General features: G+C 35.8%; 1 protein-coding gene across 12 annotated transcripts in view; it reads right to left on the bottom strand.

The window, feature by feature from the left end:
- Window positions 1-19482, bottom strand: part of EXOC6 (exocyst complex component 6) — a 232660-nt gene that overhangs the window by 167703 nt on the left and 45475 nt on the right. Inside the window, exon 1 of one of the 12 annotated variants that reach the window (XM_017016347.3) lies at window positions 18476-18944. The exons of the other annotated variants lie outside the window; for them this stretch is intronic. Coding sequence (XP_016871836.1) covers window positions 18476-18513 — 38 coding nt within the window. The 5' untranslated portion in view covers window positions 18514-18944. Of the gene's footprint in view, window positions 1-18475; window positions 18945-19482 lie in introns of those variants that run through there. 12 annotated transcript variants of the gene reach the window in all.

Below are 19482 nucleotides of genomic sequence, written 5' to 3'. Positions count from 1 at the left end.
TCTTGGCAGCCAGGTGCAGTGGCTCACACCTGTAATCCCAGCATTTTGGGAGCCGATGCGGACAGATCACTTGAGGTCAGGAGTTTGAGACTAGCCTGGCCAACATGGTGAAACACTGTCTCTACTAAAAATACAAAAATTAGCTGGGTGTCGTGGCAGGTGCCTGTAATCTCAGCTACTCAGGAGGCTGAGGCAGGAGAATCGCTTGAACCCGGGAGGCAGAGGTTGCAGTGAGCAAAGATCATACTACTGCACCCCAGCCTGGGTGACAGAGTGAAACTCCGTCTAAAAAAGAAAAAAAAGAATTTAGGTTCTTGGCATCTATGCCTACATTCTAATGTACGTCAAATATAAATTTTAATTTTTTTAATTTTTTAAAAAATGTAGGTTCTGTAAGAGCTGAGTTAGAACTAGGCTCTGATCTTGGACATATTCTCTTTTCTATCTCCATGTCATCTTGACTTGTAGCTTTAAATTCCATAAGCACACTGACACCTGCTAAATTTTTATCTCTGCCCTGACCTCTCCTCAAACTCATATATCTCTCCAATTAGATGTCTGATAAGCACCTCAAATATGTCCGAAAATGAATTCCTGATCTCCTTTCACAAAACCTGCCCTTCCCATAGTCTTCCTCATCTCAGTAAACCCCACTTTTCTAGTTGCTCAGGCAAAAAACCTTGGACTCACCCTTGACTATTCTCCTTCTCCAGCAAACTACCTCCCCATTGGTATCACCCTGGACTAAGCCAACAACATGTCTTGCGTAGATTTGTCAACTGCTTCCTAACTGGTCTCCCTGATTCCATCCTTGTTCCCTTTCAGTCTGTTCTCAATACAGCAGCCAGATGATAGCTAATGGGAATTGTCCCATTAAAACCTAAGGCAAAGCCCATGTCTCTCTTCTGCTCAAAACCCAGTTTATCTTACAACAGCCCATAAGACCCTACATAATTTTGCCTCTTGTTACCTCACTGACCTCACTTCCTGTTACTTACTCTCCATTTTACTTATTCCATGCCAGCAACACTGGCCTCCTCATGGCTTTCTTAATACACAGGCATATTCCCATCTATGCTATCTAGATAGACCAGACACAGAGATAGATAGGCAGACAGACAGATACACACACACACACACACTATCCCCTTCCCTGCTTTATTTTTTAATCTTCTAAAACAAAGGAGTTTATCACTATATCATTCCTTCCACTGTAGAATATACTCTCTGTTTCACACTTTTAAGTATTATCTGTCTTCCCCTACTGGAATGTAAGTTGCATGAGGACATAGTTTTTGACTGTTTTGTTCCCTATTGCATCCCCAGCCCTAGAATAGTGTCTATCATATAACAGAAGCTCAATAAATAATTCATTAATAAATGCATGAATTAATAGATGAATGGATGGAATTAGAAAAGGCACTTACTAGCAGTTCAACCTCAGGTAAGCCACCTGAATTCTCTAAGTATCAGTTTTCACAACCATAAAATCAGGATAATAATAGCACATACAGCAATGAACAAGTAGAATTTGAAGTTAAACACACAATACTATTTACATTAGCATCCTCCAAAATGAAATACTTAGATATAAATCTAAAAAATACACAAGATCTACAGGAGGAAAACTACAAAACTCTGATTTTAAAAAAATCAAGGAACTAAATAAATAAAGAACTATTCCATGTTTATGAAGAGGAAGACAATATCATTAAGGTATCAGTTCTTCCCAACTTCATCTATAGATTCAAGGCAATCCCAATCAAAATCCCAGCAAGTTATTTTGCAGACATCGATAAACTGATCCTTGGGTTTATATAGAAAGGCAGAAGACCCAAAATAGCCAACACAATATTGAAAAAGGACAAAATTCAGCCAGGCATGGTGGCACACGCCTGTAGTCCCAGCTACTCAGTAGGCTGAGATGGGAAAATTGCTTGAGCCCAGGAGTTTGAGACAGAAATGAGCCATGATTGTGCCACCGCACTCCAACCTGGGTGACAGAGCGCAACCCCCACTCTGAAAAAGAAAGAAAGAAAAAAAAAAAGAACAGAATTGGAATACTGACAACACGACCCAAGATTTACTATAAAGTTACAGTCATCAAGATTGCATGGTATTGGTAAAACAAACAGATCAATGGAACAGAATAGACAGACCAGAAATAAACCCACATAAACATAGTAACTGAATTTTGACAAAGGAGCAAAGGTAATACAATAGAGAAAAGACAGTCTTCAACAAATGGTGCTAAAACAACCGGACATACACATGCAAAGAAATGAATCTAGACTAGACCTTGAATGATAATGATGTGTCAATGTAGGTTCATCAGTTTTTAAAAATCTACTACTGTGGTGAGGGATATTGACGCTGGGGAGGCTTTGGATGAGTAGGATAGGGAATATATGGGAAATCTCTGTACTTCCTCCCAATCTTGCTAGAAACCTAAAACTACTCTAAAGAAAAAAAAGTCTTTAAAAAATAGTATCTACATTAGAGTGTTAGGAGGATTAAATTAGTAAACATGAAAAATTCTTAAACAATAACTGACACATGGTAAGTGCTTAACATACACTAATGACTAGTATAGTATACACATGAGACAACCAAATCCTCGTTAAACAAGTGAACCAGTGGCTGAACAACTGAGTACTAGATACAAATATCAAATAAATATGACCAAAACTCAATTATCACACCAAAGGATCTGACTACCACTAACACCTAACATTTTTATATGTCCTTTTGCATTTTTTACATTTAGTGTTTCATTTATTTCTTATACACATCAGAGAAACTATCACTGCCTCTTTTTCACAAATGAGTAAACAGTATAGAAATGATAAATGACTTGCTCAACATAGCCTAGCTGGTAAGTAACTGAGGCAGTACTAAAATTCCTACTTCGTACTTTTCCCACAATTAACATATATAACAAGAACTATTAACTAAATAACATTATTTCTAAGGAAAATTCTTGTGCAAGAAGTTTATCTTAACTGACCTTGGTGTGCTATAAACAAATTTTTATGTCATGATTATGAGAAAGTATTGTATTTAAGTAATATACATACACATTTCTATGTTTAACACATTTTATTAAAAGTTGGACATTTATCTGGCTCTTAAAATACCAAATAATAAACAAAATACACCAAAAGAATTTTTTATATTACAATTATCACATTGGAGCAAAAATCTAGCAAGAGATATTTCAGGACTACCCGAATACAGAGTCCCTTCAAGGGAGGATTTGACTGCTTTTGTGGATATAAAGGAGATACTGTTATCCCTTTTGAAGAAGAGTAATAACATAAATAAACAGGAAGAAGAGAACAATAGTTCTTTCCCAGAAGTCTATTTCAGTTTAGAAAGTTCTCAAAGTAAATCCTTTGGTATGTTTTTCCAATATATTCTTCAAAGTTTTAAAAACAAAACTCCTCCTGCTTTATAGTAATTCAGGATACTGCCAGTGCATCTACTATAGCATCACAGGTGAACTCCTCTTTTTCTGTTGTGCTATAATGGAGAAAAACAATATTTTTTTTTAGAATATATGCAATACCCACCCTCCATTAATAGAAAACCAAAGCCTGAGAGGGGTAAACTATTTACATTCCATGCCTTCTGCTATTAAAAAATAGAACCGTAAGTTCCAATGAAAGAAATAAAAATAATATTAAGGAATTAGTACTGTGAATGAGAAGAGTAGGTCTTGATCTATTACAAAGTCTCAGGCTGTCCCAACTCTCTCCTGACCCTAGATAACCATTTGCTATTCCAGACATGCACATAAGCTGTACTCACAGCTGATACCCCCACGTGTCACCCACAACCCATATCAATGAGCAGAGTACACAGAAATAAAGTCATCAAGGTGAATAAAAGTTCCAAACCACAGGAATAAATTGCATTTAAAGAATGTACTGAAGAATCAGGCAAGTGCCAGAATCAAAAATTCATCAAATGATAGAATGCTGGCCCTAGAAAAAGCCTAGAAAGTTCCTAGATCTATGTCATTTTAATAAATGCAGCACAAATCTAAAAGCCAGCAAGCAAGCGCTCAAAATGGAATTAATCGGCTGGGCACGGTGGCTCACTCCTGTAATCCCAGCACTTTGGGAGGCTGAGGCGGGCAGATCACCTGAAGTCAGGAGTTTGAGACCAGCCTGGCCAACAGGCCAGGTAGAAACCCTGTCTCTACCAAAAATACCAAAATTAGCTGGGTGTGGTGGCGGGCGCCTGTAATCCCAGCTACTTGGGAGGCTGAGGCAGGAGAGAACTGCTTGAACCCGGGAGGCAGAGGTTGCAGTGAGCCTAGATCACACCACTGCACTCCAGCCTGGGCGATAAGAACGAAACTCCGTCTCCAAAAAAAAAAAAAAAAAAAAAAATTAAATTAATCACTACAAGTAGTTGATTTAATCCTCTACTTACGTTGATAAAAAGTAATATTAAAAATAACTAGTCTAGAAATTTGCTAATAAGGCCAATAATAAATAGCTGACTGAATGGAGAGAGGCAAGAAAGGAGAAAAGGTGGACATGTATCAGAACACTGGAATGAGGAAAAAAACAAAAGCTACTCTTATCCCAAGAATCTCTTGACACAGTATGTATAGCAGAACTTATGGACCTTCTCTCTTGATAACCATGTAGGGTTAACCTTGAATCAGACAGCCTGACAATTTGGAAAGATAGTGGAAGGAGAAGAAAATGAAGAGAAGATGTGCTCTTCAGGTCAACAATTCCCCACAGTGACTTAACCGGCCAGAGAGGAGTCATGTCTGCTGCTTCTGGCTTAATGATGGTAATGATAAAAATAATAACAACCAACCAAGTACTTATTATGTATTAAGTGCTTTACATGCATTATCTCATTAAGTATAAAAACAGAACCATAAGTTCCAATAAAAAAATTAAAGAATTAGTACTGTGAATGAGAAGAGTAGGTCTTGATCTACCAATTACTAAGTCTCAGGCTGTCCCAACTCTCTTCTGACCCCAGATAACCATTTGCTATTCCAGACATACTTCTGGCTTAACTATGTTAATCATTACAGCTTTACAACATGGATTCTGTTAGCATCACAATTTACAAATGTAGTTTGGGAAGATTAAGACATTGAGTCTGAAGTCATATAGTAACAGAGTCAAGATTTAACCCCAGGTCTACCTGACTCCAAAGTCAGTGCTCTGAACTACTATATTACATAGACTCTCCAGTCAGAAATGGTGATAAGCAGCATAGAATGCAGAGGGAAGTTACCAGCATAGCAACCAACCAGATCACCTTTGAAGATCAACAATTGAGAATGACTCAATAGGGAATCCCTGATGTGCACTGTTGCACCCATCAGGTGAAATCAACCAATGGACAGAAAAGGGGGATGATAACTGAGGCATAGCTAATAGTTACGCAGTTTTAAATTACAAATGCAACAAAATAAGGAGGAGCAAAAAGAAGTAGAGAAAATCGAGGGCCCTGTACTTGACCTCAGTTGAAGAGACTCTGAAAAAGCTATTTTTCTTTTTTTCTTTAAATGATAATCATTATTCTTTGAAATTCTGATTTGTAGGAACAGAAAGGAAATGCTGTTAAGCAGTACTCACTCTTTGAGCCTAGTTGGTTTATAGTTATATCTACCTAATTCATATATGAATGTGCTAGATTTATTGCCATTCTAAATTTTGAATCAATAAACAATTTTAACAAAAATAATTTTTCGTTCTTTCAGTCTCCCAAAATTTTATAATTTCTATTGTTAAGTCTAATCAAGTTCCTGTAAACAAACACACACATATTTATATGCTAGAACCAGCAAGAGCGAACATTAGAAAATTAGTAAACTTTCCATTCTCCCACATCCAATAAGAGTATACCTTAGTGCTCTATATATAGATAATGACACATCAATGTAAGAGAGTTCAGGACAAAGGTAAAATAAATAAATAAATAAAATAAAATTTGTTTAAAAGTAAAAAAGAGGGGGGGGTTAGCTCAGTCATCCCTTCCAAAAGCTTAACACAATAAAATGTCTAATTCTGGCAAAATTTAATGCAACTCAGACAGAAGTACAGATGCAAAATCATTTTTAAAAGAAGAGATGGCTGGGCACAGTGGCTCACGCCTGTAATCCCAGCACTTTGGGAGGCTTAGGTGGGTGGATCACAAGGTCAGGAGTTCCAGACCAGCCTGGCCAATATGGTGAAACGCTGTCTCTACTAAAAATACAAAAATTAGCCAGGCGTGGTGATGCACACCTGTATCCCAGCTACTTGGGAGGCTGAGGCAGGAGAATCACTTGAACCCGGAAAGCAGAGGTTGCAGTGAGCCAAGATTGCGCCACTGCACTCCAGCCTGGGCAACAGGGAAAGACTCCCATCTCAAAAAAAAAAAAAAGAGCTGACTTTAACCTTCATGTGAACAGAGAACAAATATGGCTTATGCCACACTAAAGATTTTACTTACATATTTTAATTTTAGCAACTCGGAATGTATAAAAATACTTTGTGTCTCAAAAATATAGCTAAAAAAATTTTAAGTATCAAACACATTTTCTATCTTCATTATATCAACCCTTGAAAACCAAAGTTTTCAAAGTTTAAATATGAGTTAACTCGCTGTAACTGATTATAAATTGGCTTTAGGGAATTTAAACAAAGTATCTTGCAGAGATACTTTCTTGAATTGTGTGTTTAGGGCTCCACCTAGTGGTAGTAAAATAAATACAAAAAGAAAGATAAGACATTAAAATGTTAAAATTGGTTCACTAGAAATTAATGCTTTTATCATCAAATCAAATGTCTTAACTGAGAAACTACGGCCACTTGAATTTTTTGGAAAGATGCTATATTCTGTAAATAAATGACTTAGTAATCAAATTCCACAGTATTTTTTTTAAGGAAAAGTTCCCTTTCTGATGAAAAACCAACATTCACGATGTATTATTGTGAAAAAAACTCATCACTTTTTATATATTTTTTGTTAAAAAGCATGTAATATCCTTACACTATTTTGGGTATCTTTTTAATTCACTGCAGTCTTCATTGTAAAGAATAAATCCATTACAACTGTGAAGAAAATAAAATGTATTTACTCTTTTTTACTAAAATAATGTCTACACTTTGAGGAAAATCTGATATAATCTCAAAGTATCTAATTCTAATGTCCCGAAATTACTTATATTTGCTAGAATAGTATTGTTTCTTTTCTAGACAAAATAAAAATGGCTTTTCTCTGTCCCAGAATGCTTTGTTCACTAACAGAATACATATACTGGTTGCATAACCATAAAAGAGCATGGTCAGGGGCTACATCTGCATAGTGTATAATTTGAGAAAGTACCTAGAGCAATTGCCATTAAAATGCTAGTCACTGGCTGACTTTCCCATGTATTTTACTAAATGTCAATCAACTGCTTTTAAGAAAAAACAAAAACTAGCAAGAAAATGGACTTCCAAATACTGGAAAACTAGAAGCAGAAATATTGTTCAGGAATCCCTGGGCATTGACACTGCTTGTGTCAACTGACACCTTTTGGTGTCAAAGCTTTCTACAAACCTTTATCAGAAAACAAAACTTTAGGCCAGGCACAGTGGCTCAAGCCTGTAATCCCAGCACTTTGGGAGGCCAAGGCAGGTGAATCACTTGAGGCCAGGAGTTTGAGACCAGCCTGGCCAACATGGTGAAACTCTGTTTCTACCAAAAATACAAAAAAATTAGCCAGTTGTGGTAGCACACACCTGTAGTCCCAGCTATTCGGGAGGCTGAGGCAAGAGAATCACTTAAACCCAGGAGGCAGAGGCTGCAGTGAGCCAAGATCGCACCACTGCACTCCAGCCTGGGCAACAGAGCAAGACTCCATCTCAAAAAGAAAAGAAAAGAAAAGAAAAGAACAAAAAGAAAACAAAACTTAACTCTTTTACCCCTGACAAAATACTATCAGTTACTTCTGACTTCCTTTAATGCTTTTTAATGTCATTTTATACCTTTTCAAACACTAACCTATTTTCTGCCAGTTTTTCAAATGATACATTAGCCTTAAGTTTGCATTTCTATCAATAAAAAATTGCTTTCACACTCTTCTGCGCATTCTTTATTCTTCCAGTATAGGCATTTTTACTATTATTTCACCAGTTCTTCAAATGGCATATCAAGCTTAATTTCTAGCATATAAATCTTAATTTTATATTTCTCATTATTAGTAATTAAACTTTGGTATTTCATATTAGTAAGAGTACATATGATACTTCTTTAGCAATTTCATATTTATACTGAATTCTTTTCAGATTCTAGGTGCTAATCTTATTGACTAGTACTGAAATTTTGGTTACTAACTATAAACTATATTTTTCTGAATATTAAATATATAAGACAATTAACCATGTTATAATTACCAGCTTTTGACAAACTAAACATTCTTTAAAATGCTGCTATAAAGACAGTTTTTAAAGCAAACACAAAGAAACAATAGAAATTACCAAAAGCTATTAAAATCATCCTATCCAATACACATCACTTGCTGTCAATCTCAAAATGATTTCAAAATATAGAATTTGGATATATCAGTAAATGTGGTAAATTCACCAAATTCTCCTGCAACAAATTAGTTCACAATTGATTTAAAGCCAAGATTTGAAAACATTTATTTAAACAGAAGCACATGAATTGTTACAGTTCTTTCAGAATAGGACATACATAGGCCCCAATTATGAAAGGGCAGTTATATAGCAAATAGTAAGCTTTCTGAGATGCAGAACGTTGCCCTACATTGCCCAGATAAAGTTATCAGCAGTTTTCTGTGCCTCTCGTATGGATCCTGGAAAGTAGGAGAAGCTACACTGAGACACTCTATTTGTTCCTACCTGAGTGACCATGTTGTTTCTAGTAAATCTTTGTATTCTTTGTTATATAAATTGAGAATCTGATCTAATCTTTCAGTGGAGCAGCCTCTGCAATATCAATTTATAACCCACTTGAAACCCTGAAGTTAGAGTCTGAAGTGAGACTTGAAACACCGCAACTCTCTTCAGTAGCCTCCAGATATACTTAAGAAACCCAAAATTTCAGTAACAACCATGTGAGAAACAATGGGCTAAAATATTATTTAAAGATAGTAGATAAATTATCTTTGAGAGATGGGGTCTTTTTTCATAAAGCCACATGATTTGGAATTATTTTCTTTTAAACAACAAATAGCAAAGACACCACCTCCCAATTTTTTTTTTTTTTTTTTTTGAGACAGAGCCTCACTCATGTTGCCCAGGCTGGAGTGTAGTGGCACGATCTTGGCTCACTGCAACCTCTGCCTCCCAGGTTCAAGCAATTCTCCTGCCTCAGCCTCCCAAATAGCTGGGATTACAGGCACCTGCCATCATGCCTGGCTATTTTTTGTATTTTTAGTAGAGATGGGGTTTCACCATGTTGACCAGGCTGGTCTCGAACTCCTGACCTCAGATGATCCACCTGCTTTGGCCTCCCAAAGTGCTGGGATTACAGCCGTGAGCCACTGTGCCCAACCACCACCTCCTTATCTTAAATGCACAAAAGGTTTGCTCAAAGTAGCCACTCAATCTTGGAATAAAATATTTCTACTATAGTTAGTTAGCAATATGAAATACCAAGAAAAAAACCAATGTAAAAGTATCATATCCAGTACTCTTAACATTTTCCCAACCATTTTATCAAATACAGCAGACATGAATAACAACCTTCCCATAACATTCTCTGATTGTGTTAGTCTGTCCTCATGCTGCTAATAAAGACGTACTCGAGACTGGGTAATTGATAAAGAAAAAGAGGTTTAATGGACTCACAGTTCCACATGTCTTGGGAGGCCTCAGAGAACTTACAATCATGGTGGAAGAAGAGGCCAACGTGTTCTTCTTCACATGGCAGCAGGGAGAAGAAGAATGAGAGCCAAGCAAAGAGGAATGCCCCTTATAAAACCATCAGATCTCGTGAGAACTTACTATCAGGAGAACAGGATGGGAGAAACCACCCCCATGATTCAATATCTCCACCTGGTCCATCTCATGACTATTGGGGATTATGGGAACTATAATTTAAGAAGAGATTTGAGTGGGGACACAGCCAAACCATATCGCTGATACTCTGCAATCCAGAAGCAAATCAGAAACACAACAGCTCCAAGGAAATAATACGTAGGTCAAGAAAAAGGAAGATTCCTTCTACCAATATTAAGCATTGTGTAAGTGCACAAGCAATAGAAACTGAAAATGAAGTGCAGAAAACAGGCATATACACAGGCAACTTTAATACAGAGCACAATTATTCCTTAAATCATTAAAATTTATCTACACTGAACCTATTCTTCAGAGAGGCAAGAAAGTAAATGAAGTAGTATTATGACATAGGTCCAAAATTCTTTGCACATCTTACAATAAGAGGAAGGGTCTACACTCCCTTCCTTTAATCTGGGCAGGCTTGTGACTACTTTCACCAATGGAATATGACAGAAGTGACACTATGTGACTTCAAAGACTAGAAAAGGCCATGCAATATCTACCTGCCTCCTTTAGACACTTAGTCTGGAGAAAGCCATCCACTATGTAAGAAATCTGACTATCCTAAAAATGACAAGCTGGAAAGGCCACATGTAGCCACTCCCAAATGACAGCCACAGCAACTGCCAGCAATGTGGGCGAGCCATCTTGGCTGTCTAGTCCAGTTGAGACTTCAGATTACTTCAGCCCCAGCAGGTAGCTGACAGCAACCAATATCCATTTGACTACAACCACATACGAGACCCCAACCTACAACTGCCCAGCCAAGTCTTTCCTGAATTCCTAAAGAAAAACAAAAAGTTTTCATGTAGAATACAAGTTACTTGGAAATTTGCATAAAATATTTAAAATAGTATTAAACTTAAAATATTTCCCAGGATAATTCCTTTTTTCTCCATTTTTTTCCCTTTTGGCACTAGTCCTTTTTGGTGCTGTCCTAAACTTATTTTCTACCCCTGGATGCCCTTCCCCCTCCATATGCTTCAATACTAATTTTAAACTTCCTTCAAATTTCAGCTCAAGACAGTTCCTTAATGTTAATTTCATAAATAGCTATACTGGATAACCTTCCCATTACCAGAAATTTTCCCATTTTTTTTAACACAAGGTTTATATTACACTATCTTTTATTAATATGTACATCAAATTTACTCTCCCACTACTTGGTGTATATTTTATCTTCTAAGTTCCTTGAGAACTGAAGGTGTCTTCTATTTCTACATTCAATTCACAAGTGCTGTGAGGATATAAATTACAAATCTTAATAAAAAGAACAGGCTCACTAGAGGGCACCCTTTACCAAAAAGTAACCTCTAGAAATCCAAGTACAGTCGGCCCTCTGTATCTGGGGGTTCCGTATCCCTGGATTCAACCAGCCACAGATGGAAAATATTCAAGGAAAAAAAAAATGGGTGGTTGCGTCTATACTAAACATGCATGGACTTTTGTTCTTGCCATTATTCCCTATCCAATACAGTAAACCACTATTTACATGGCATTTACATTGTTATTAGGTATTATACGTAATCTAGAGATGACAAAGTACATGGGAGTATGTGCATAGGTTATATGTAAATACTACACCATTTTATATAAGAGATTTCAACATCCATGGATTTAGGTATCCACACCGGTTCCCGGAAGCAAATCCCCACAAAAACTGGGATGACTGTATTTTCATTTAGTACCACATCAAAATATGATGTGAATCTCATACTCGACCTAATCAACAACTAAGTATTATGAAATAAAAATAAAAATAAGATTTCCCTATTTTTTGAAGTGGTTTTACCCTGTTACCTATTGCTTTAATATAACTGTTTTAAAAAAAATAGCAGAACAGAATCATAAACAGCACAAAAATTATCTGGCAATTCCAGGCTCCTATGGGTAAGTATAAACAACACAGCACAGGATAAACTTTTATACATTACAGAGTGCCTGACATACAACAGGCATTCAAATATTGAAAGAACACATATAATAATTTTACTAAAGAACATCTTAAAATCAGTGTTTGAATTTGCAATAAATATATAAAAGTTACATATATTGAAAACTGATGGGAAATCAGTACTGATGGATAAGATCTATAAGGAATTGAATATCAATCAAATACAAACAAAAACATATTTTACTTGTCTTCTTCATCAGCATTTGAAAATCTACAAAGGATGATTTTTTATGATTTATTCATGTTAGATGTCATATATGAGGATAATACTGAAATTACTGAATGAAAAATAACCTAAAATTTCTAACAGACCTATGAGCTTTTTTTTCTCTTTTAGAGACAGAGTCTCACTCTGTTTCCCAGGCTGGAGTGCAGTGGTGTGATCACAGCTCACTACAGGTTCGACCTCAGGCTCAAGTGATCCTCTCACCTCAGCCTCTCCAGTAGCTATGACCACAGGCGTGCACCACCATGCCCAGCTAATTTTCTTAAAATTCTGTAGAGACACAGTCTCCCTACGTTGCCCAGGCTAGTCTTGAGGGGTCCTCCAGTCTCAGCCTTCCAAAGTGCTGGGATTACAGGTGTGAACAACCACAACTGGCCTCTATGAGCCTTTTAATCTACTTCTAAACTATATAATAACATTAGCATTTTATAGGGGGAAAACATTAAGCAAAGTTAATGCTTAAAAAGATAATTTTTGGCAGTCCTGGAAAAGACAACATTGTATAAAGTATATCCTGAGGTGGAAGCAACAACTTTACTAAACTGCAGAAAATTTTAAAAATGAAAGCCATCTGCAAATATATTTAATTCTAACTTTGAAACAAAGAACCCCCTGAAATACATACATATTTTTAAAGACCTTTTTTAACAAGTGGCCTCAGTTTGTTGATTTCTTTGGAAAAAAGTGATAAGCTCTTATTACAAATTAAAAATGAAGTTCTTAAAAATCTCAACTTGACTAGGTATAAACCAATTTTAAAACCTTTAAGGTAGATTGAGAAAAACCTGGCTTAAAAAAACAACACATTTGTCATTGTTACAGGTAGATAGGCATGGGCAGGGCAGGAGAGGGCTCTCCCCGCCACCCACCAGAAATGTCAGGTGACAGTTTGACAATTATCGCATTATCTCTCTAAAAATGATAATTTGGCACCCCCAGGAAGAAGCAACTTCCTGGGCATGCATGTGTGATAAGAGACAAAAATGGTAAAGTATGATCTTCCAGGGGCGCACTCCACCAAAAAAGGAAAGAAAACATCAGATGGGCACGCGTATCACTCCCTAAACACACTGTGTGTGCTCAATTCCAAAGGGTAAGGAGGGCACTGGGCATGCGGAAAGTCCACCCTAAGGGAAGAATCATGGGAAAAAGGGGAGCCTATAAAGTCCTAGGATCAAGATTAAGGTTCCTTTTTTTGCTGTCTTCTTTTGCCCTTTTTTCTGTCTTGGACCTTCATGTGCCTGCTTGGCATCATTACCAAAAAGAGATGTCCACAGGGACCTTTCTCGCCAAAGACGACCTAGAAAGAACTACAATGAAGAGGATAAGGAAAATCAAGTAGCTGAGACTCAAGATCAGCAGTCACCTCACCATCAGTACTGTAGCAACTTCAATTACTGATGCAGATGCTCAGAAAAACCTAAACCATAACATGGCAAACAAATAAAAGCAGTCAATCTACCAGCCAGAATACACCCACTCCCAAGGCTGAGCAGGGCAAGGATGAATAAATGCCGGTTTACCATCTCTACCATCATCCAGTTTAATTATCCAACAAGAAGAAATGAATAGAAAATTCCAGCAATAGGAAATGGAACAAAAGGTTGGAGCTGAAGACCTTAAGTGCTTGCTTTTTGCCCAATGACCAGATAACTGGAACTATCTGCATTATCTATGCAACATGAGGTTTGTACTATTTTTACCTAAAGACATATCCTTTTCCTAATGACAAAAATATATTTTTAAAACTAAATATGTAATATACATATATATTTAATTTGTTAAATGTTTTTCAAAAGACAAAGAATTTTGCCATATAAGTATATCCAGAAGTAGTATGGAGGAAAACAAAAACACAGTTAGTGATATAAGGCTGATCCCAACTCCCATCACTGACCCTGACTACACAGTCCACTTCTATTGGTCATTTCTCAGCTTTGCAGAAGAATCAGAAAGAAAACATGAAGTTGAAAAAGGCAATTCCCACTCAAAAGCAGAATATAAATAACAAAACAAAAAATAAAAATCATCTTTTTCCATCTGTATTAGTGCTTTGCAATCCACAAAGCAATTTTGCATACATCACTGCATTTGGTATCAAGAACCTGGAGAAGTATAAAGGACAACTGGTTTTATATCTATCTCACAGATGAGGAAAATGAGGCTCAAAGAAGTTAAGGGATTTATTCAACACCATGTGGCTTCTAAAAGGCCAGAGCCAGGTAGACAATCCAAATCTTAGACTCATAAGGAATGCTGAAGGATATTACAGGAAAAAAAAAAGATAAAAGGAGATGACTGCACAAATCGTCTTTCAGTTGCTGATATTATTTATGTTCAATGTCAGTAATACATTCATTGCTGATTTCCACAGTATCTGTCTGATTATTATGGCAATGCCTGTAGTAATTAATTCTCTTGAAATTAAGCTCCTGCACAAAGAAGTGGGCAATACCAAAACATCAATACATACACTCCCTTACAAACCACAAAGGGTAAGTTTCCTGCCTTCCCGTTCAGGGATGACAAAAACAAAAAACAAAAAATCATTACGCAGATTCTATTAGCCTTGCTCTATTAAACTAAAAAGAACCATCCCTTCTAGTAAGAGAGAGCCCTAAAAGCAAACTTGATTTAAGTTCTTTTTTACCTCCGGAATGAATGAATGAGGATATGAATGAAAAGGGAAAGTAGGAAAGGATTGCATTGTTTTGTTTTTTTCCATCGTTGAGAAATGAAAAGGGGCATGCATAGGGTAAAAGTGTCAGTGATTTTTCTTACAGCCCCTATCTCCTAAGGAAAATGAACTGGAGATTGGTCTCACTTAAGCTACTGGATGCCTGTCTGGGAACTGCAGAGGAAGAAGGAACCTACATCACTTTACTGTAAGTTCTTTCCAAGATCTGAGCCTCCTCTGCCCTAGCACAGGTTGGACATACAGGACCCTCCCTTCCTGAGTGCAATTCCGATCACATTCTTTAAACCCTCTCTTTTTTTAGGTTAAAATTTAATAATCTTTTGACACTGCAGCTTTCATTATCTGATACTCCAGGTTAAAAGGCAAAGCACAGTGATTAAAAGTGTAGGCTCTGGAGTCAACTGGCCTGCATCCACATCTACCTCTACCAATTACTGAGTGCAGGGGGCAAATGACCTAATCTATCTATCCCTACCTCAATTTCCTCAGCTGCAAATGGGTATAACAATGGTACCTTCTTTGCTTCTTGTTAAGATTAAATAATGCATTTAAGTGTTTAAAACATTGGCAATGTTCAATAGATGTTAGCTATTATAATTACCTACATGATTACTTTTATCTCCAGGAATGAAGATCTTGACTAAGAAATTATTTTAGATTTAATATTATTTTTCATAAAATTTCACACAAAATGAGAACCACTTAAATGTGCAACATAAGGAAATAATTAAATAAGCTAAGATATATGTACTTTAAAATATTAATCAACCATAAAGAATTACCTTACAGAGTACTTATAACATTATAATAGGCATTGTCAATATTAAATTCAAAAAGATGAACACACAAATACAGATATACTCACAGGACAAACTCAGAAATACACACACCAAATATGGAGTACTTTTGGTTATAAGGGTTTTAAGTGATTTTTATATATACATGTGTTCTGAAATTTTTTTAATGAATATTTACTATTTTTATAATCAAAAAATTGTATTTTTATTTTGATAAAAAAGGGATGAAAATTTCTATATATTATAGTCACTGCTTCACTTAAAAACTATTTAATAGTAATCATTTAATATGTTGAATAACATAACTTTGCTCAATAAATATTCAATATTTAGTACATGTCCACTTTACATAGAAAAACTCAAATTAATGTCAACAATGATTATCCTTTAGTGGGAATAAAAGTGATTTTTTTCTGCTCTCTATTCTTCTATATTTTTTAAGTTTTTCTATAAAGAAAGTTTGTGTTTTTCATTAATTCAGTCCAAAATGATTTACTAAGTCTGTTGTACTCATGGCATTCTGTTATGTAACACAGTAGGAATTCATGAGATATGTATGAAATCACAGGTCTCAGGGGCAATCTAATTAGGGCTATATTCAAAACATACTTATTCATACACAAAGACATACATTTACAAACAACAAAATAATGCTGTGTAGCATTTTCAAAGTCCATGCTATAAGAATCCAGACATATAAAATATATTTGTGTGTGTATCCATGTAGAATGCAGTATTCTAAGATGGAAAAATTTCGTGGAGGAAATAGGAGAATTCAATAATAGGTAATATTTGAATTGGTAGAGAAAGGAGGAGGAGGGTATTCAATTACGGGTAAAGACAGACAGGAAAGAACATGGCATTGTGCATAATTCAAACAGTTTAACTGATATGAAAGATATCTGTTGTTACTGGGAATTTCACTGTAATTCCCATACAGTGATTCTTAATCTTTATTTAGGCTGTGCCTGGGGATAGCATGACTCTCCTCTCTAATTATAATCAAAGTTATAGTTCTCCCTAGGAAAGTGCACAAACACAGCTATAATACCTACCTTCCCTCTGAGAACTGCTACCCATTGACAAGGTTGGACAAGCTGCATAGCCTCTTTCAAAGTACACTGCAACAGGGGTGTACAATCTGATACACTCTCAGGAATTTTAAATTAACTGGAATTCAGATAGTCAGGTATGTGCCTAACATATAAAAGCTATAGGTGGTCATCCTCCACCAAGTACAGAGAGAAGCAGAGAAAGTCAGACTTCACAAAAGGATGAAGACAAAGTCATCAAGGAGAAATAGAAAGAAAGATGGTTGTCCACTTCTTTGTTCCAGTCTTTCAAAAAGTTTGGCTGCCCTAAGATTTTTATAAAATACCTCAGTAACTTTCACCATTTATTTTTTCATTTTTTCTTAAGCTAACTCAAGTTGGTTTGATTACCCACAACTACAAATTTTTTTTAAATCCTGGACAAAGATGCTCACATGGGTGTGCATGTGTGGGGGTGCACACACACACACACATTTCTTACAATTAAAAAAGGTTTACAGACACCTTCATCTGACTAGCACATTAGAGCATATCTTCCCAAATGAATAAGTTATGGGAATACCACAATATTGATCATCTTAGCTCTCAATCTAATTTTCTGTTTGTGTCACAATATAAAGAATGGGAAGCCCTACCACATAATAATCCAGAAATAAGGGTCAAGACATGGTTTACGTTACTAGACTCCTGATGAAAACAGCATGTCAAAGAGGTCACCAGGCTGATGATGATGATGATATGCCATATAAATTTTACACACTTTTAGTTTTTTCACAACACCAACAATATTGTACTGCTAAGTAAAAAACTGAAGTTAAGGTAAGTATCCTAAAATACTGCTGCTTGGTATTCAAACCAATGCTATAGCCTGTAGCTACAGAGTAACTGAGAGTTTCTAGCAACTAAAGAGGAAAAAAATGTATATACATAGAATCCAAATTTCTTTTTTCCTTTTTTCTTTCTTTTTTTTTTTTTCTGTGACATGGTCTTGCTCTGTCGCCTAGGCTGAAGTGCAATGGTGCAATCCCAGCTCACTGCAACCTCTGCCTCCCCGGTTCAAGCAATTCTCCTGCCTCAGCCTCCCAAGTAGCTGGGATTACAAGCATGTACCAACACACCTGGCTAATTTTTTTTATATTTTAGTAGAAATGGGGTTTCACCATGTTGGCCAGGCTGGTCTCAAACTCCTGACCTCAAGTGATCTGCCCACCTCGGCCTCCCAAAGTGCTGGTATTACAGGCATGAGCCACCGTGCCTGGCCCAGAATCCAATTTCTTTCACCACGGAATACTGAAAAATATTTCTTGTTTACATAAAACTCACGTTCTATGTGTTTTTCCATGAAATATTTCATCTAGTTTGCTATATGTGCTCGTAAAATGCTTTATAAAATAATGCCCAGATGCTTCCTCTAATTTATTTGAAGAGATTCTGTCAAAGAATTTGTAATGACAGAATTGATATACTTTAATATGTTTCTTAAAAGATACATTCATATCTTAAAGGATTATATGACCCTTCAAAGCATCAAGAGCAAGCAAAAGCATAAAAATGAAGAACGATTTTCTGTATATTTCTGATGTTGAATTTTACTTGACTTGTTCTCACAAATAGTATCCTGTTTCCACGCACAGAAAAAAGTCTAGTGTCGTGTGTTAGTTAACATTGCCTCCTATAACTAGTGTTGACATTCTGTATTACTGACATTAATACTCACTGTAATTTTGAATAACAGCACAGCACACTGATGATCATTAATGAACATCCTCCATGGTGAAACCTGAATTCATAATCAGCCAGCACAGATTTGCAATAGACTTCCTCCTTCCTGTTTTTACATTCCTGACCAAAGAGGTATCTCTTCCTGTTGACTTTTGGGCATTTGGTAAAATGCAAAAAATGAGAGATGAAAACACCCACTATATTTAATTGTATTTGTCCTCTAGGATAAAATGAATTGCGAAAATAAATTTTAATTCAAAAAGTTTAAACAAGTAGATTAATGAATGCAAATATAGACTGCTTTCCCAGAAAACTTCAGAAAATTAAACAAAAATATCAGACTGACTACAGCAGATCTAATGTGCACTTTGCGTAATAGCTTAAGAGATGAACTATATACTCAACCCAAGTCTTTTACAGGAATCTTAATCTACAGTTAAGAAGAAATTCACTGAAGGGCTGACTTCACAGCAAAACAAAAAGAATACTACTCAATCATAGAAAACAAAACATAAAATTAATTGAGCTTTACACTTATTATTTGTGCATTTATAATTCACTTATGATTTACAATGCTAAAGACTATAAAGTCTATAAATATCTTTATTTTTCAAAATAAAGATGTAACATTAATATTTATATACCCAAAAATTCAAAACCAATCTCATCGAACAGAAACTAAAGGAGATGCAACAAAAAAGAGAAACAAGTTAATAAAAGGGGACTTTAACATATCTCTCTCAATCCAAGAATGATCAGGTGAAAAATAACATGAGGCTTTAGAAGATATAATGAACTTAATTAATAAGGCATGTATGTGTATAAAACTGTGAAGCCTAATAAAAAACCATACACTTTGAAGACCACATAGAATACTCATGAAAACTAACCATATATTAAGCCACTAATAAAACCTCAATTAATTTGAAAGAATAGAATAAAAACAGATTGATCTAACTATAATGTAATAAAAGTAGAAATTAGTAGCAAAATTTAACAAAT

Source organism: Homo sapiens, chromosome 10, assembly GCF_000001405.40.
Source record: "Homo sapiens chromosome 10, GRCh38.p14 Primary Assembly".
NCBI classification, from domain to species: domain Eukaryota; kingdom Metazoa; phylum Chordata; class Mammalia; order Primates; family Hominidae; genus Homo; species Homo sapiens.
Note: the sequence above shows the minus strand (reverse complement) of the source record. Positions and strands in the feature narration are given on the sequence as shown.